The sequence below is a fragment of the Homo sapiens genome, chromosome 6, assembly GCF_000001405.40.
Source record: "Homo sapiens chromosome 6, GRCh38.p14 Primary Assembly".
In the NCBI taxonomy this organism is placed as follows: domain Eukaryota; kingdom Metazoa; phylum Chordata; class Mammalia; order Primates; family Hominidae; genus Homo; species Homo sapiens.
In genome coordinates, this window is record NC_000006.12 from 54237628 (window position 1) to 54259109 (window position 21482).

Below are 21482 nucleotides of genomic sequence, written 5' to 3' on the forward strand. Positions count from 1 at the left end.
TTAAGCCCAGGAGCCAGAGACCAGCCTGGACGACATAGGGAGACTGTCTCTAAAAAAAAAAAAAAAAAAAAAATTAGCTGGGCATGGTTTCGTGCACCTGTGGTCCCAGCTACTCAGGAGGCTGAGGTGGGAGGATTGTTTGAGCCCAGGAAGTCAAGGCTGCACTGAACCGTGATTGTGTCACTGCATTCTCGGCTGTGCAACAAAGTGAGACCCTGTCACAAAAGCAAACAAAAACAAAATAAAAGTCTTCAGGATATTTTCTTTATTTTTGATATATTATGCTTTGGACTATGTATATTGCTGAAACAAGAAAGGGTACAGAAGAAAGATGTGTCTGTGTGTGTGGGTTAATATTTTAAAATTGTATCTAATCTACTATAGTCATTTTGTCCATTTTTCCCCCATTTTACAATGCATTTAAATTATTTTTTTATCTTTGAAGGTAGCAAAGTACCATGTACAACACACCTGTTTATGTCTAGATTAAGGCCTACTGGAGTCCATTTTCTATTTTTAAAAATTCAGCTCATTTAGAAAAATAATATTCTTCCTAGGCACCATAAGTATGTGGCACATGTGTCTCAGCTTACTTACCTGGCCCTAAGGTGAGAAAACTAACACACACATAAAGTATCTAAGCTTATCACTGTCCATAACTTTTCTTCTTTCCTCCATTCACCCCTTCTCATTTCTTCTATCTTCTACTCTCATAATTTCCAAGGTAAACCTCTCTTTTTAAGTCACCCTAAAATTCCAATTCTTCTGGCCTACTTTCAGTATTCCCACTTAATTACTCAGTTTTATGCACTTTGTTCTCTTCTTATTCCAACTACATTTTCTCCCTTTTATTTAGCATAACTACAAGCCATGTAGACAGGAAGTTATCACTTATTGTTTTCTCCCTTGAGTCTCTACTCTGCCAAGTTTGCACCAGCAAACAAACGAGAAACACATGGCCAGTCTGTGAATAGAAACTAGAGGAGTGAGGACTAAGCCTTCACAGTCAGGATGACTTTTCTGATCTGTTGGCAGAAGCAAGGCTGAGATTTCCTAAGCAAGAAGGCTCTATTTACAGTGAAAACTTGAGAGGTTTTACAAGCAAAAATAGGATCTTTATAGGCAGAGAGACAGCTTTAAAGCCCCAGGAGAAAATTCACAGCCATCCTTGAGGATATTTTTTCTTTCATTTAAAAAAAAATTATTTCATGCCAAGTTTGTGACAGTGGAGCCATTTTATTTCACTTTTAGTTTTCTAAAAATGCATGATCTTTGTGTGTTGTTTGTAACCATACACTATTTTATTTCAAGTCTGCTTCTGTCTCATGAAAGAGGTAAATAAGTATGGCAGATTTCTTCACATGTACTATGGATTCTCCCCTTTCTTCCACTGCTGTTAAATCCTATTGTAAGTTTTTATGCAAGGGCTAGTTCTAGATTTCTCTAGCCTTTCCATTTGCATATTTCAGTATTTATATCTGGAGTAGTCTCTTAAAAAATCTCTACCACTATAGCTTTCACTTCATAGCCAGAGCAGACTATTCATCTCCTACCTCTCCATTCGTCTTGCCCAGAACCCCTCATAGCCTGAACACTCTCACTCGCAGACCCCAGGCTGTTGTCATTGCTCAAGGTCAGGGCATGACCTTTAAGATCTCTCACATAGACAGGAAAATGTATACTCCTATGTAGATGATCATGTGTTCTGATCAGTCTGGGCCATTTAAACATATATATATAATATATATATATATAATATATATATACACACACACATACACATATATGAATAGAAACATTATATATGTATACAATGTTTTGTTCTATTTTTTGAAGAATTTTATTTTTTAAATAGTTTTGAGGCTGGGTGTGGTGGCTCATGCCTGTAATCCTAGCACTTTGGGAGGCTGAGGTATGCCGATCATTTGAGGTCAGGAGTTCAAGACCAGCCTGACCAACATCCAACGTGGTGAAACCCCATCTCTACTAAAAATACAAAAAAAAAAAAAATTAGCTGGGCATGGTGACACATGCCTGTAGTCCCAGCTACTAGGGAGGCTGAGGCAGGAGAATCACTTGAACCCAGGAGGTGGAGGTTGCAGTGAGGCAGGATTGCACTACTGCACTCCAGTCTGGGTGACAGAGCAAGATTCTGTCTAAAAATAAAAAATAAAAAATAAAATAAAATAAAATAAAGTGTTTTGAAAATAAATATTTATGTCTACCACTATAATAAACCCTTCCAGTCAATAAATATTTTTAAAATTATATGATTTCAATATTTTTAGTGCCCCTCTGTTTATCAGAAGTATCCTGTTTAATCAGTAAGCATAAAGTCACTCTACTTATAGTGAAATGCAAGTTAAAATTCGTCTGCAGAGTCTATTTGTAATGAGGCATCAGTTGCTGTATTTATTTTGCAGAATCAATGAATTGTTGTATGCCTATACTTGAAAAAGTAATTCAAACTCTTGCTTTAACTTTCTTACCTGTGAAGTGACAAACAACAACAACAACGAAATAGAATCACTATTATAGAATTGTTACCAGGATCAAGTGATATATGAAAGTAAAACTGTCACATTCCAACTTCAGTATTCAGCTTTATACATTTTTTAGCATCTAGCTACTATAATAGAATTTTGGTGCTGGAGTGAAGAAACAATCCATCAGTATAACTCCTAGGCCATTACTCTCATCTTAAATACCTTTTTACTTTTATTACGGCCTATTTTTCTATTGCTTTCTGATTTATTCACATATGTATTTCCTTTAATTCCCATTTGTCACTCTTCTTTCCTTTCTGCCCCCAGAGAAATATTCTAAACTATGTGATGTGTATGTTTGTGCATTTTCTTTCAAAAGTTGCAGTGTTATTTTGTGTGCATATGACATAATTTACGTAAATGTTATTGTGCCACACATTTCACTCTCTTCCTGCGGGTTTCTGTCTCTTCAGCTGTAATAGTAGGACATTTAGTTCGGTTTCAAAACCCTAACTTTAGGACTCAGATTGGGCTGTTTGCTTCAGAATTATCTGGGGAGCTTTAGAAAAGTGCAGATTCCTGGCCGGGCACCGTGGCTCACGCCTGTAATCCCAGCACTTTGGGAGGCTGAGGCAGGCGGATCACGAGGTCTGGAGTTCCAGACCATCCTGGCCAACATGGTGAAACCCCATCTCTACTAAAAATAGAAAAAATGAGCTGGGCGTGGTGGCACGCACCTGTAGTCCCAGCTACTCGAGAGGCTGAGGCGGGAGAATCGCTTGAACCCAGGAGGTGGAGGTTGCAGTGAGCCCAAATCGCGCCACTGCACTCCAGCCTGGCGACAGAGTGAGACTCCGTCTCAAAAAATAAAAAAAAATCAAAAGAAAAAAGCAGATTCCTAAGCCTACTTACAACTTAAAAAATTTAGAAATCCCAAGAACCGGGCGACCTCAAAGTTTTTACCTCATAGAAAACACTATGCTTCCCCTGTAATAACAGACGTTTCTTTTTTTTTGCCTTTTAAATTCTCTAATGATTCAGCAAGAAAATGAACTTTCTTATGAAAAACTTTAAAAGAAAAATTATATTGGCATGTTTATAAGTACTAGATTATAATTATTTTTTCCTCATATAACTCCTAGTAAGTAAAAGGAAACACAACTGTTAAATTAAATATATATGGAGAGAGTGTATGTATATATACTATAATATAGTATATACTGTAACCTATCTAGTATATTAGCTTAGGATTTTTTTATTAGAATAAGTTATGAAATATTGGGTTTAGCTGTTAATCAAAATTGTCCCCATGTGCTTGTAATGTTTACAATTGGGCCTGAGTGTTTACACATTCAGTATTCATAGACTTACTGAATCAGAAGGTGTATAACTTTTTCTGGTATGCTACTTCAGCTATTAAAAGTCCTTTCTCATTGAAAAAATACCATAGCCACCAACATGTACTTTCTTATGATTTCCTTTTTTAAAAAATTAAAGTGCCCTTTTCATAAAGATATTTTAAATTATAGCAATTATTTATATTAGAACTATGTTTTTGCTAAAAAAGATGAAGCATTTACTTATAATACATTTTACCTTTATGATATGTCAACACAATATTTACTGATCTTTTTTCTTAGCCTTTTTTCTAAGCAGCTGCTCTTGAGATTGTAGATTAAGAATAAAGAAGGAATATAACTTGTCTGAAATGAAAAAGGGGGATGAGAGTGAGCAAATAGATGTATTTTCAGTTCAATTATTTGCGTTATTTCTGTCTTCTCTATGTAAAGAATCACTCCACTTATAATAAGGCAAGGGAGAATCATCTATTAGAATAGTGAGGGAGCCTACCTAGCAAAATGTATTCTGAATGAGAAATACACATATAGGAAATAGGAGAAATGAAAAACAATAGCAATAGAGAGCTAACTCCTTTTGTTTCCCCATCATAGAGGATTAGGGGTTGGCATACCTAGTCTGGAACCTCTGGTGAGTTTTCATGGCGGTCTGATGTTGTGTGAATGACATAGGAGGACAGAGAAAGGAAAGAAACTTTCATGTCCAGAGTGGGTAGGTGGGAGAGGCCCCTTCACAAGCTGGCTTTAGCCTGCTTCTTAGGCCATGAGCATTCTTTTCTTAAACTCCTTGGATATTTCACCCTGTAAACATTGAAGGTTGACTTTCCTTGTTCATTTCTTCTTCTACTTATTTATTTTCAAATTTAGTACGTGTGTAACGTTTATATTGGTAACGTTATTGAGAGCATGTAAATTGGTATTATCATTGCATTGCTACTCAGAGAATTGACCTTGTAAATCTGCAGAAATCCAATAAAAACTAAAATATTAATATTATAGTCATATATTCAAGCATGGGTTGATTTTTTTTGGTAGCTCCTCTGAAATATTTTTTGCCAGAGGTTTCTTCTGATATTTTAACAAAGATCAATCAACAAGAGTTAATAGAGATTATGACTTATCTGGAGAAAGGAAAATCAGAAGTAATTCTAACCTTCCCCTACTGCTTCAAAGGCTGAGAGGGCTTTGAAATAACAATTTATTTTTCTAATATATGCTGTAAATATTTAAATCTAAAGATGTGAAAAATCTTTTATGAGTATATGTTAAGAATAAAGGAACAGCTCTTTGAGATAAGCAGTCTACAATTGTACATAGCTTCAAAATTAGAAAAATGAACATTAAGTGATTTGGTTCAAGGTTACCAAAACCTTGACTAATTTCTTACTAAAAACAAAAAGCATAGACTTTGCAACCTTTTTGTTCCAACATAAAGTCTAGGAACTCAGGAGTCTGGAAGTTGACAAAACACATTTATTCATTTCCTAAAGATGTATTGAATATCTGTTAGGTGCAAAGCACTGTGTTTGTGCTGGCCATGCACTGGAAAGCCAGCAGACAGAGACATGGGGGCCTTTTCCAAGTCCTTATTTTCTACATAGGGAAAACAGAAATTAAAGAAGAAAAAAATTCAATACTTAGTGATAACTGTCACAACTGCCATGCAAAAGACATTTGGGCAGGTATGAGTATATATACCAGAGGTCCTGATCCAGTCTGATGAATCAGGAAAGACTTAATGAGAAAATGGTGTTGAATCTGAGGCCTGAAAAGAAGTGAAGGCTGGGAGTGGACTGGGCATTCCAGCTAGAGGGGGCAGCAAGCATAGACATACAGAAAAGGAACAGAGCAAACTTGAGAAAACGAAAGCAGGCCAGAGCATTGAAGAAGCAACTGGAATCAGAAACTATAATGTGAAGTTAGCATCAATTAAGATTACTAGATAGCTTCCACCTTCCTGAACATAATGAGTTATCTGAACTGGGGGGAAAAAGCAGGGAGTGAGTTGAGAAGTCACTGAAATTTTATAAGGAACATATTTAGAAAAAGTAGACAACATTCCACTTACTTCACATGCAGCATTTTATTTAGATTTTAAAACAATCATAAAGTAGGGTTTATTTTTTCTTTTACATATGAAGAAACTGAGGCTCAGAAAGTATATATAATTTGTACAAAATTTTGCAGAACAGCTTAAAAGCTGATGCTTGATTAATTTTCTTTGAGATATCTCCCTAACGTCTATCAATAAAGTGGCATTACCACTTTCACCATCACCACCACCCGGGAATCACGCACAGGCTTCCGTTTGGTCAAACCCAGCACCATATATGTAAATCAGGTCTAGAACTAATTGCTGAGGCCATCTGACTTCCTTCAGTCTACAGATAAGAAAACTGAAGCCCAAAGATGCAAAGTGACATACCCAAGGCCATGGCATGAGTTACTGGCAGAGCCTGGGCTTATGAATTCCACAATACTTTTCACATTTCATCTCCAGGCACCAACATTCTTTTGGCAGAACTTTCCACTTTGCAAAGGTTAGTGGCTAACAGAACCACTAAACATCTAGTACTCTGACAAAATTGTACTGAGGTAGCCACATTTATTGAAAAAAGTCATCTTGAATTTTGGAGGCAAAAACATCCCTCAAACCTCTTCATTAATAATGTTTATGTTCTAACTTTATGTATGATTAGAAATCCGTGTGAATAAACCAGGTAATTTATTTTCAATCATCATAGAAATAAACAGCTTTACTCTCAATTCTAAAACTTTTCTGACAAGTTTTTAAAGATAATGGAGATTAGATAGCTATCGAGATGATTAAAATATAAAATATTTGAGATTGTTGGAATTGGAAAAAAGACTTTATCAAATATAAAATGGGTTTTTAAAAATGTTTTAAGATTTTTCAGGAAGTCAAAACATGTACACTATTTGACGATGCCAAATTGTTTTCAAAACGAATGAATGTGTTTAATTCATTCACAAAGAAGCTTCTGTTCAAAATGACTAAATGCAAATTAATTTGACTTTTAACATTAAAAAATGAATGTCAATGAGCAGATATTTTAAGAGAAGTGGTTTTGCAAAATGAATTATCAATCATTTTTAGCTAGGTTCTCCACTAGAGGGCAAAAAGAGCATTTCAACAGAATACATGCCTTAATGACAGGCTGGAATTTGAAACTGGGCATGCTTCTGTTTATCTAATTACCAGTCTTAAAGTGTACTTAATTAATCATAAAACAGTTGGCTTTTAAATTTTTTCCAGGAAACTGAGAACAATCAATTTCTTTTTCTTATTTCTCTTTTTGGCTTAATCTTAGTAGCAAGAACACCTGCCCCAAGCTCATGTGTTGTCTGCCATTGGACATATAGTATCTAGCTGGAATTTTTCATTGTAACATTTTTAAATAAAATCATTCAAGAAATTAGGAATTTGGTAATTGGAAAGAGATGTATGGCTGCAGGTAGGCAGGATAACAGTTTTATACTTTGAGAAACATGATTTTTAAAGCTCTTGTAAAATAACATGCTGGCCTTTGGAATTTACTGACTATGCTTGTATTTTATGGACAGAGAGAAAATAAACTGCCATCCATTTGCACCTTGTTCTGATGGAGACACTAAGGGATAATGAACTCTCTATTTCACCACACACATCAGCCACCTGTCCCTTCTCCTTCGTGTGATATGTTAAATCAGGTTCCTTAAAAGCAGATCCTGAGACAGCGGTTCAGATATTGGTGATTTATTGAGGGAGGGTTCTTCAGAAAAGCTTCCTGTAAAGAAGGGAGTGAATTCAAATTGAGAGGGGCAAAGAGCTGAGCAAATGTGACTTCAGTTCAAGGCCAGCCTTGACTTAATTCATAGGGAGAAGGCTCTAGAGAATAAATTGCAGAGTTATCCACACCTGATGCAAAGGAGCTACCCTTTTATGCCCTTTACCAGTCAGCCATTGGCTGTGGGCACTAGGATGAGAGAGAGTCGAGTAACTCAGGGTTAGGACAATAGTCTTAGCTGAGTGAATGCGCAGTAGAAGGAGGCAGCTATGAGCCATGCATTATTAACCCTGAAATGTAATGAAAACCAGGATAGAAGCATTTTATCTTTGCAAATTGAGTTTTTAAAATATATATTTTGTCTACCTTTGAACATAATTGCTTGTCTAACCTTCTTGAAAAGCTATTGTTTTTTTAAAAAAGTTTCTTTAGGTTGCACCACATGAAACTGCCATTATTCAATAGCTTTTTACCTACACAAATATCAATTTTATCAGTTTCATATAGTTCAACCTAGTTGTCTCATTGCCGTAATGTATTTTGTGATCCTTTTACTTATCCCATGCAACAAAATCTATTTTAATTATGTAATATTTGCACAGCCAAGGAGTCTCCTATTTTGAAACTTCAGGGCAAAATTTTTCTATGTTGCTTTATCTTGCTTAATGTGACCACTGTTTTACTCCTTTCACCAAAATATGAGCATAAAATTTTTTCAGATTGCTAAATTTGTTGAAGTTTACCAATGTGTGACTAATGAAAGCACAACTCAGACATTTAACTTACAGCCATCAAATAATGATACTCATTCGCCTTCATATAAGCCATATGTTCCATAAGTTCTGTGAATCAAATGGAAATCTCTTTTGGGGAACAAGAATATGACTGTGAGGGTGGGCCCTTCCTCAGGTTTTATAAAAATATTTATTTAGCCACCATTAGACATCAAACACTTTCTTAGCTTTATGAAGGCATTCAAATGAAGTGTAAGACCACGACTTGCTTTCAAAGCATTAGAAGTCCAACACTGGAAAATCTTAATACTTTGAGGCTCTATTTTTAGGAATATATGTTTATGATAGTCATATTTTCTGGTTCATTGATTTTATTACCAGTATATAATATCTTTTTTTCTGTCCCTTATAGCATTTCTTCTTGAATTCCATTTTTAAGATAATAAAATTACTATTTTTAGTTTGGTTCATATTGGAGAGACAAATCTTTTTCCTACTTTGGTTTTCAAATTTGTATGACTTTTATTTGTGTGTATGTCTCTTGTTGTCCAGATATTTTCTGATCTTGATTTTTTTATCTTGAGACATTTCTCTTAATACCTGAGATTATCTCGCTACATAACCTTAATTCTACCATATTATCACATTTTTCATAACTTATCTGTTATTTCTGCTTTTCAGTTTTTTATTGGAAAGGTGTAGTTTTAATTTACTGGTTTAAAATGTATTTAACCTTGTTTTGCTGTTGATGGTCCTTAACTTAAGGTCTGTATTCGTATTTATATCCTTGTATTGATATCTGTATCTTCTTCTAGTAAGACAAGTCCATTTGGTCCCTTCCATTGCCTCCCATCACATAGATAGTGTTCAATTCTAGGTGTTTATTTCTGACATATTATGGTTATAGTTTCTCTCTTTTTCATAGTAATTCATGGTTTGTTCTGTTTTATTTTTACGGCAGCAACACACTTAATCAGATTGCTTTATTACCCTTTCTTCCCATATTTCCTGTAGCATCCTCCTGTATGTCTTTCTCTTTTTATTTAAGTCCTTGACCCAAGAAAGTTTTTAAGACAGGTTTTTATTTAGCAAATATTCCAAGGCCTTGAATGCCTGAGAATATATTTTAATCATCCCATATTTGAATGAACTTTTAACAGTTTATAAAATCCCAGGTGATATCGTAGGCAAATTTGGCAGTACTATGAACATTTTTCTTCTCATTCTCAAAAGATCTCACTCTGGGATGGCTGAAACTGACTGACAGTGGAGAGTTTTCTTTAAGGGCTTCTTAGCGATCAGTAAATACCTCATTTATTTTATCCTTTGAAGTTTGAATAAAAAACCATCATAGCTGTTAGTTTGTGGTTCTAGCAAGAACATAGCTGGAAGTAAAAGAAGACAGATTCTCCAGAAGGAAGATTTTAGACTCCATCAGTTGGCTCAGGAATGGCCACAATCTAAGACCAAGTTAGAGTGCCTGACAGGACCATATAGTCAGACCATGTAGGGCAAGAAGCGGAGGTGGAAGGAAAACACTGGGTGTACTGACAGTTTAAAGGCATTAAACATAAAGGAGATGGTAAAAGGGTCAGAAAAAGCTTACACAACTTTGAAGTGTAGTTTGAAATAATGCATAGGAAGGTGTGGGAATGGAGGAATGTGGCCCAATGCCAGGAAGATGGGTCTGGCAGGCACCATATAGAAAGAAGCCCTTCTGTTACCTATAGACATACAGTCCTTAGCTCATCTGCCTGCCAACCAACCACATACCCTCTCCCTCCTCAACCAACTCTTGGCCCCCACATCCTTAGTGATGCTCTTGGGGGTGTACTGCTAGAGGAGAGTGGAATGGGATCTGGTACGGGGTCTAAGGTGAGAGGGGATGGCTTGACCCTATCACAGTCATACCTATTTATTTTCTTAAATACTCTTCCAAATCCTTGCAACACATCAATTGACATCTGTTGATATTACACCTGGGATCTGGGATAGATTTCCTGCAACTTAGAGGTAACTGGTGGCAAATTAGGAAGACCTTGGATGGGATTAACGCAGGGGCAGGATTCCAAAAACATTTATGGAACTCGGGAATATTAATACACAGCTGTTTATATTCTATTTTATGTCACACTGGAATAAGAGGTACAATATTCCTTATAATCTATAGAAGATAAAAAACAGAGAGAGAAAAATATTCCACCAATATTTTATTTTGTGAAGAAATAGACATTTGATTTATGATTGTACTAGACTGGTATGATATTGAAAACAATTGAAAATGATGTTTTGCCTGTAGTACTAAGTAATGAAGTGTTCTCTTAAAGGATAGACAAAAAGAACAACAAATATGCTTCCTTGTCAATTCCAATTTCAACTTCTGGAATTTGTTTTGAGAACTGAAATGGTGTTAGAATACATGTTTTACTCTGTTTTCATTATAACCTGGGAGCTGTGCACTGAAAAAAGTGAATGGTGTAGTTAATCCCCTTAGGGAAGTGGTTTTCTAGTTGAGAAAGAAACAACTCTAGATGAAAAATGTAAGTCAACAATAGGATGTGGTATTTGTTTTTAAATAGGCTGGACATACAATAATGAGCAGACAAAAATTCCCTTACACTGATGTCTAGAAGGTGGTCTTTGGAAGAAGAAATTCTAACATGCCTTAAGTCTTTATCTCTTGGGATGGAAGAGGAAAGGCCAAGAATAAAAATAGCATAATTTAGGAGTTTTCCGTCATATTTCAGATCTATTACAAAGATCAGGACAGAAAATTCCTATGTTTTCTTATTAGTATTCTTAGAATTGAGACTCCAATATAACAATATTAATGACCAATATTCAGTAGTGAGTGTTTGGTGGGCTTACGAAACAATTAACATGCATTTCAACAGAATATACCAACCAACATGTATTATCAAGTGAATATATAATAACCAAGGGAGTACACAAAAGAATGTAGTGAAACTTAATAGTTTGTAACAGTTCATACAAGGAATAAATAAGCAGAACTAAGAACCGATATTAAGGATTCCAGTTAAGATTGGGGAGTTCATTTTACCATCCCCATCAGCATAACTTCTACCTCAGCTATGGCTCAGTGCAGGAGATGCCATAAAGAAGACCTTTATTTCTGAGGTAGCATCAGTTATCAATCAATAGATTTTTTTGCTTAAGCATCATGGAACCAATGAATTATCCAAGTAAAAGAGGAACTGAAACTCATCTATTTAGGGCCCAGACTTTAAAGATGAAAACCTAAAGCCCAGACACAAAGTGATTTTCCCCAGGTCACAAAGGGAATTAATTAGATAGACAAACTTGGGAACCTTTGGGCATTACCACAAATATATGCTCTACTTTTGAATTCTAAAAATAAATATTTAAATCCTAAAAATAAATATTAATAAATGTTGTAATATATTTTTGATATTTGGCCTAATACAGATTAAATCTTTAAGACATATAGCTAATTCTTTTTTTTTGATATGAGAGGCATATTTCTATCGAGAGGAGCTTTTTCCACATAGCATGTATTATCCACAGACCTCAATAAAGAAAAAACTCAGAGCATTGCCTATGTTTTATTCCAGGGTATAGAATTGTGAGCAGTAAAACCAATCAACTAGTGTTTGGTGCACAACTGCTAGGATATGATGAGACCTATTCTCAAGCAGCTTGCAGTCTTTTGGGGAAATGTCTTTGGGGAAATGAGGAACACACACACACACACACACACACATATATATATATACACACACACATATATATACACATGTATACACGTGTGTGTATATATATGTTTATTTACTTTTATTTTAAGTTTGGGGGTCCATTTGCAGGTTTGTTACATAGGTAAATGTACGTTAAGGGGATTTGTCATACAGATTATTTCCTTAGCCAGGTATTAAGCCTAGTATTCATTAGTTGTTTTTCCTGACTGTCTTCATCCTCCCACCCTCCACCCTCTGACAGGCCCCAGTGTCTGTTCCCTTTTATGTGTCCATGTGCTCTCATCATTTAGCTCCCACTTACAAGTGAGAACATGCAGTATTTGGTTGTCTGTTCCTGTGTTATTTCACTAAGGATGATGCGTCCAACAATCACATGATAAAAAGCCCAGCATCACTGATCATTAGAGAAATGCAAATCAAAACCACAATGAGATACCATCTCATACCAGTCAGAATGGGTATTATTAAAAAGTCAAAAAATAACAGATGCTGGCGAGGTCATGGAGAAAAAGAAACACTTATACACTGTTGGTGGGAGTGCAAATTAGTTCGACCATGTGGAAGACAGTGTGGAAATTCCTCAAAGACCTAGAGACACAAATATCTTTTGACCCAGTAACCTTATTACTGGGTATTTACCCAAAGGAATATAAATCATTCTATTATAAAGACACATGCATGTGTATGATCACTGCAGCACTATTCACAATAGCAAAGACATGGAATTAACCCAAATGCCCATCAATGATAGACTGGATGAAGAAAATGTGGTACAGATACACCATGGAATACTACACAGTCATAAAAAGGAATGAGATCATGTCCTTTGCAGGAAAACTCATATTTAACAGTGTTCATTCATTTAATAAGCACTTTCAAGGGCTTACAGATGACACTGAAGTGAAGTTGATGCATACAAATTCCTCATAGTAATTCTCTGTCCTCAGTTTCTGACATCTCTCTCACTCATTTTACCCATCCACCTGAATTTTCTCCCTATTTTTCAACCAGCCCAATTGTGAGTAATTTCTTCTCAGGGACTAATTCCATATTCACTCATCATGCTTCTTATTCCTATGAGGTAGCATCCCTGAAATTTCAGCCTCTGGGAAAAATATGCCTTCATCCTTTTAGTTTAGGTTAGATTCATCTATTATGAACCCTGATAAGACTCAATACTTTTACTTCCTAACACATTATTTTGTGTTTGGACTTATATATTCCTGATTATATAATTACTATCTGTCTCTCCTGCTAGACTGTAGTCTTCAAGGCAGGTGACAACGTCTGTTCACTGATTGTTATATCCTTAACATCTAGCCAAGTGCCTGACCTATTAGCAGGTACTTAATAATCAAATATGTGGTAAATGATCTAACTATACAACTCCAGTGTATCTGAATTGATTAGGACATTTTGAGTATAGTTAATTTTAGTTGGAATAGATAAATATTTGAAACAAATTCATTTCATCAATTTATACAAAGATATTGGCAATGACTTTACTATTCAACCTGTGGTAGCATCAGCACCAGCTGACAGCCTGTCATAAATGCAGAATCTCAGGCCCCTCTCCACAACTACCCTGCCAGAATCTGAAATTTACAAGATTTCCTGGGTTCCTCTAGCACATTGTGATATGTTGTAAATCAGGGATTAAAAACACAAATACTTTATTGGGCTAGGCATATCTCCAAAGTGAATGAAACAAGCCATATATATATATATATATATATATATCTGTCTCTCCATATGAGACAGATAATAATTATATAATCAGGAATATATAGGTACAAACACAGTATATATAATATATAGTATATATAGTAATATAAATATATATTATAGCATATAATATATAATACAAATATATATATTATAACATATAATATATAATACAAATATATATATTATAACATATAATATATAATATAAATATATATTATAACATATAATATAAATATATATTATAACATATGATACATATATATTATAACATATGATATAAATATATATAATAGCATATAATATATAATATAAATATATATTATAACATATAATATATAATATAAATATATATATTATAACAGATAATATAAATATATATATTATAACATATAATATATAATATAAATATATATTATAACATATAATATATAATATAAATATATATTATAACATATAATATATAATATAAATATATATTATAACATATAATATATAATATAAATATATATATTATAACATAATATATAATATAAATATATATATTATAACATAATATATAATATAAATATATATATTATAACATATAATATATAATATAAATATATATATTATAACATATAATATATAATATAAATATATATTATAACATATAATATATAACTATATTATAACATATAATATATAACTATAATATAACATATAATATATAACTATATTATAACATAATATATAACTATAATATATTATAACATATAATATATAACTATATTATAACATATAATATATAAGTATAATATATTATAACATATAATATATAATATAACTATAATATATTATACCATATAATATATAATATAACTATAATATATTATACCATATAATATATAATATAACTATAATATACCATATACTATATAACTATAATATATTATAACATATAATATATAATATAACTATAGTATATTATAACATATAATATATAATATAACTATAGTATATTATAACATATAATATAAATATAATATATTATAACATAATATAAATATAATATATTATAACATATAATATATAATATAGATAATGATAATAAATATAACCTATAACATATTATCATGATATGTATATAATCATGATTATGTACATAATCATGATAATAGGTAACCTCTGACCTCTGGCCTCCTCATAGGAGTGGTGGGGACTATGTTTATATGAGATCTTTAGCTTCATCTAAAAGGCACAGGCTACTGTCCAGAGTCACAAAATTGCAAGGTTAGTGTTGGAAGATCTTTGAACAGTTCAAGAGAAACCAGAAAAACAAACCGGCATGTATGATCTATGGACTTAAACACTGACAATTAAATTTAATTCTTTTTAAAGCAAAAGAAATATGAGGATCAAATAGAACTTACTTGTGTGATAGTTCTACTTGAAGGATCTTCAGTTTTCAAAATCTCATACAAAGGATGTCTTTTAGGCATTCAGTTCATACTTCCTAAGGCCTCACTAACTCAGAATTCTTTAATTTTACAAGTCGGAAAACTGTTTCTTTTCTGTAGCCATCGAATTCTTCCTTTCTTTTATTAATTTATTCATTCAGTGTCTACTCTGTACTGGTTGGGTCCTATGCTAAGTACAGAACAACTAACAACGAGTTAGTTTTAGTTATTTATAATCTATGACTTCCAATGGCATCTAGTCTTGTAATGACAACATTAGACTTATGAAACAGACAGTATTTGATGTGGGTATTGCTGCAATAATTTGTAATGTCGCTTTTGAGGGATGGTCTTGAGAAGGTTATGCTCTGTCTTAGCAGTTCAGAAATCTAAGTGGAGAGACAGAAGCAGAAGGTACAGATGACTGAAGACAAATGGTGTGAAGGAGGTTGACAAGAGGATGTGGTTGAACATAAAAGCAATCCTAAAGAAGTGAATTCTGGATGGAATGTATGGCACCCATGGTGATTTTAAAATGTTAAAACTTCCCGTAACACTCCCTCAGCTTCACAATTTCGGGCAGTCCAGAAAACATACTTTATCTCCACTCAAAAAGAGAGAACTGTTTCACAAAAGCTAAAGCTCTAAATTTCATGTCTTGTGTACATTAAAGACTTAATTAACTGATTTAACCACATTTTGCCTATTTTTTTTCTAGTTGTTACATTTTCATTTCTTCAGTTGGTGTGAGGGGATTTTATCTCTTTGTGAGTGTGGTTTATATTACCTTGGAAGAGGCAGTGATATTTTTGAGCATGCTAGTGACAAACACTTCACAAGGCTTTATGTTAGTTTGGTGGCAGCTGTGACCAAAAGTGTAATAAAAATCAACTGAATGTTTTATTCAAATGTGTTTATCCAACAGTGGTGAGTGAACAAAGGTTGGGTTAATCTGTTATACAATATCTAGGACTGGATTTTCTATCCAGGATGAAAAGCGTGCTTTGTCTCAATTCTCTTGAATTTTCCATTTCATTTATCTTTCCATGTTAAATAATGCTCTCATGTTAATATCAGTAACTTTTTAGTTATTTTTTTCTTTGAGGCAACATAGTAGTTTGTTTTCCACAGTGTTTACCATCAAGTATGCCAGCTTGGATGACTCTCTCTGTCCTGTAATATTAATCTACTCTCTGCATAGCAAGCCATTCACCTACGTAGAACTTGTTTTTTTGCTGTTTTTTTTTTTTTTTTACGTGGAGTGTTGCTCTGTCACCCAGGCTAGAGTGCAGTGGCGTGATCTTGGCTCACTGCAATCTCCACCTCCCGGGTTCAAGCAATTCTCCTGCCTCAGCCTCCTGAGTAGCTGGGACTGCAGACGCACACCACCATGCCCAGCTAATTTTTGTATTTTTAGTAGAGATGGGGTTTTACCATGTTGGCCAGGCTGGTTTCAAACTCCTGATCTTGTGATCCACCCGCCTAGGCCTCCCAAAGTGCTGGGATTACAGGTGTGAGCCACCACACCCAGTCAGTACTTGTTTTAATGCTTAGTTTCACTGTTTCCATTCTGACTGGCAAAATTTTCATACTGTGTGTTATTGTCCTCCCCATTTGACATCTCTAGTCCTCATGCATTACAAAGCCTCTGCAGTTGGCAGAGGTTTTAGCATTCAACATTTCTCTCTGTTCCCAGTTTTTCTTCCTTAATCAACAAAATAGCAACATATCTACCCTCTGCTTCTTTGCTCATCCTGGAAAGTAGGAAGGCTAGAGTTACCCAGAAAACTTGAGTCTATTGTATTTTCTGAGATCATATTTTTATTAGAATCTTCTTTTTTTTTCTCCCTCCCTTCCTTCCTTCCTTCCTTCCTTCCCTTCCTCCCTCCCTTCCCCCCCCACTTTCCTGCCCTGCCGCCACATCTCTCATGCATTATTTAAATATCTTCCAATCCACATATTTCGATATTTTGCACATCAGCCACAGTAACTTTTTTTGAAATGAGAAATCTGACCACATGACCACACGTGTCCCCTACTTAAAGTACTTGAACGACTTCTCACTGCCTAAGATAATTAAGCTCAGACTCCTCATCTGACATATAAGCTCCATTATACTGTGTCTCTTGTGTGGCCTTTCATAGTTATACCAGCCAGCCCTGAGATGCTCTTGGTCTGAGAATGGGACACCCTTGACTTCAGTGCCTGGCTTTTCCCTTTACTATATGTCATACTCCATTCACTTCCCCTGTCTCTCTGTCTTCCCTGCTTCTTTTTCCTGCATAACTTCCCATGGGCATATTGCCACCTCATACTTGCTTTGAGAGCACAGTCTCTGCATACTCTCAGTCTAGATTCCAGCATGGATGTTCCACTCACTAGTTTTGGGCCTTGAACAAGTTATTCTACCTCTCAGTGCTTTAGTTTCCTCATCTGTGAAACAGAGTATTACTAGTGCTCACCTTACCAGGTTGTTGTGAAAACTAAATGAACAAACCCATATAAAGAATTTATTATGTGAGTATGTAATAAATTATTATGACTAAATCCATAAATCTTCACAACACATTAATATCACATTTTTAGTCAGCTTAAGAATATTAAAAAGGCAAATCTACTGTGATAAAAGATCATAAACAGAAGAAAGCATGCCAAAGCTAAATATAAATGATTTGAGGATTACCAATTCATTAGGATCAGTCATTTTCTGTTCTCTTTCATTGATTAGGATAATCAACACATAGTTTTTGAAATTCAAGATTAAAATAAAATGGATTAAAATTACTGAATACCTGTATTAGAAAGGAAGAATGGAATATAACAGTAGGCATCACATAATGACTCGATTGCTTTTCTAATCTCAGTTGAATGCTTTATTGGGATATTACCAAGATTTTAAAATTTCAAGATGATTCTTCTTTTCTGTTTTAGGAGATTAGAAGGTTGGACGTTTGACATTGTACAAACTGTGATGATTCATATAGATATTGTACTACTTAACCTACTTATACCAATGACTGTGCTATTTCCAGGATAAATCACTTGGGTTTGAAGTTTGAAGCAGTACCTAGAGTCTGATCCTAAGCCATACTTAGGATCTCAGGAGACTCTGATGAACAGGAGAAAGTAGGTGCTTCCAGCTGCTTCCTGGAATTCTATTTAGATTTCTAGTTGGCTCTAGGGCCAGATCATGCTTCTATTTAAAGCAATGGTCTCAGGCAGCTAGAAGGAGTCCTGTTGCTATGATACCCAAAGGATTTTATAGTTGGGAACAGAGTGTAAGGGCTTGGATTTAGTGAAGCTATAACTTTAAACAAAAACTGGCTCCATTCTTGAATGTCTGTTGGAACAAAGGGAAACCTGAGGAAATGTCAGGTGGAGACCTCCTTGGCCTCCCTAGCAGCCAAGGTTAGAGTCTTCCCCTGGGTAGGCTAAATTACTGGCCTCCTTCAAATTGCTCTGGGGGTTTAAGAGCTGATCTCTGTCCATGGACTTTTTGCCCAAAGCAAGACCCTGTTGAAAGTGAAAGGGGTCCAATCATTTCAATAGCCCTGGTTTGCCGGGAAGGATGGCAGAAATAAGAAATATTCCTGTCAAACTGGATCTGTGGTGATTCTAAAGCTGGAGCTAGGATAAATGGTTAATACCAAAAAAGGGTAAACAGATTTCATTACAAACGTTTGCTCTCCCCTTCTCTTTGTGTGTGTCTCTTAGGTTGTCTCTTTCTTGCATATTGATGACTTTCTTCTATCTTATGAAGTTTATGTGTAGCTCTCAGAAGACCCACATAGCAATAAAAATTCCCACATAACAAAAGACCTTCTCTTCTGTTAAAGTGTCTCTATGATATAAATTACATTATAATAACATCACCTGGTGAGATTACAATGTTTATGAAGTCTGTATGTATTGAGATTATTAATAGTCACAATAAAGCACAATATTTTACATTTCCAGTAAGTACTGTCTATAGATGCATCTACACTTACCGTGGGTCTGAACATGACTTGTTGCTGTTGCTTTGGAGCTTTTCAGTTAGAGGCCTATTATCTGAGAGGTGAAGCATAAATTTAACTTTGTTTCCTCTCTATGAAATCTGTTAGTGCATTTTGACGATTCCTTCATTACATACATAATTAATGAAGGCCTATGCTATATGCTAAGCACTGTTAGAGTTGATGTGTGACATAAAAATAAATAAGATGTGGTCTTATACACAGAGTACTCACCCTCTGCCAAAATATCTTCCTTTTGTCTTTTAGTGACAATTGAATCTTAGTGTTTATACTTGGTAGAATCCACTGTTATCTGCAATAAAATATTTATGTCATTGTCAATCTGTTTAAATGAAATTTTAACATTTATTTTTTTCTCACTTCTACTCCTGATCATATCCTGGGCATCTTTTCTGTGAAGCTGAGTCATCCAATGGTGGCTATTCCTGAACATGAAGCTCTTGATTCCAAAGAGGTAAATGTAAGATAGGACTGGATATCTAATTATCCATTTCTGTGTGATTATAGAAATAAACCAATCTTATTTTTTTAATGTTAACAAAATTGTGCTTTTATAACAAAAGAAAGAATTATTACTAACTGTTTCACTCTGTCAGTCACAAGGATTTGATAGTGAAATAAGTAAATTCTTGCTGCCTCTCAATGTAGAAGGTAGCACTAGAGTTCCCCGTGTCTGATACCTGGACCACAAACCAACTCCTACCCCAAGTGCCTGTCTTTGTGATTTCCTTTTTGGGTTCATATGTGAAATCACCATTGTCTTCTTTCTCTAGAGGGTCAATGGATGTCCCATAATCCATATGGTGTGTTTTCAGGGTCAGAGTCACAGTATCTCATGGTATCTCAGTTTCAGTTCATAGGAAGATGAGTGCTAGGCTCACTGAGCACCCCCAACCCCACCTTCCCCAAGTGAATTTTATATATGGCATGCAGCTTTTAGACAAAGGCATATCAGCTCAATCATAGCCTCTACATTTCATGTAAATGTTTATCTAAAGTTTTGAGCTGATAAGTAAAAAGTAAATTCAAACAACTTTCTTTTTTTAAAAAAATGCTATACCACAGAAACAAAGAAAAATTCTGTAAAGAAATGTTCTCATTATGGTTTACTTTTGTATTCCTCAAGAGCAAGAATAACTGAACAGTGTTTTCTTCTTTACATCCCCTCAGATAAAGTGGAAAATAGGAGAAAAAAAGTGATTTTAAAAAACTTATCTCTGAGAAGGGACTGGGTGAGCTCACACATTCATTTAAAATACCCTCACAAAAGAAGTATGCTTAATTTTGCAGCCTCCAAGTTTAGGAAGAAACAAGCATAATATAAAAGAGAAGTAAGAATAATAAAATTCCACGTATAATTTGAATTTTGTTTTCCAAGCCATATTTTCCACAATTTAGGGCATACTATCTACATTTCCTAAACTGGCATCCCTATTTCTGCAAATTTAAAAAGCTCTGTCATAGTATAAGACTGATGTGGCTTTTTGCTGTAACATTAGTCATTAAAATATAAAGTTGTGTTATGAATAGGTATGCATTTATATCCTTGACCACATCTCTGGTTACTTTTTAAGATAATATTGTAAAAATAGGATTATTGGTTTTATGATTATGAACATATGGAAGACTCTCAACACATGTAGCCAAATTGCTGTCCTGGAAAATTGTAGTAATTTACCACATGAGGAGTGTGTTATAATAATATCTGTCTCCATGCAGTCTTGGCAGCATTGAGAATTATTATAATTCCCAGTTTATTGAGAGGTTACTATACATTAGAAACAGTGTTATGCACTTTGTTTTACTTAATTTTCATAAAACATTCTTAAGTTAACTACTATTATTATTCTTTTTAGAGATGAGGAAACTAAAGCTGCAGGAACTTAATCTATTGTCTAAAGTCAAATAGCTAGGAAGTGTCTCCACAATCAGAAATTGAATCCAAATCTGACAGCCTGCAGTCTGTGCCTCTTGGGCACTCTATTATTCTCTGTCTGGTATCTAAATTAATCTAAATTAGGATTTTTAATTTAGATAAAGATATTTATCCAAATTTCTCTATTTAAATTTATATTTCTATCTATATGATCTAATTCTTTCTCTTTTAAAATCACGTTTAAAATACTTGCCAAATTAAAAGGGAAAGTTACTTTTTAATATTAATTTGCATGTTAAAATTCTGTATTTCTTCTGTTATTTTTG

At 34.3% G+C, this 21482-nt stretch overlaps 1 protein-coding gene across 17 annotated transcripts in view; it reads left to right on the forward strand.

The window, feature by feature from the left end:
* MLIP (muscular LMNA interacting protein) overlaps positions 1–21482 on the forward strand; it is a 247311-nt gene that overhangs the window by 218658 nt on the left and 7171 nt on the right. For all 17 annotated transcript variants that reach the window (XM_047419509.1, NM_138569.3, XM_024446579.2 and 14 more), the window contains one exon: positions 19681–19734. In XM_047419509.1, the coding sequence (XP_047275465.1) occupies positions 19681–19734 (54 nt within the window). The remainder of the gene's footprint in view (positions 1–19680; positions 19735–21482) is intronic.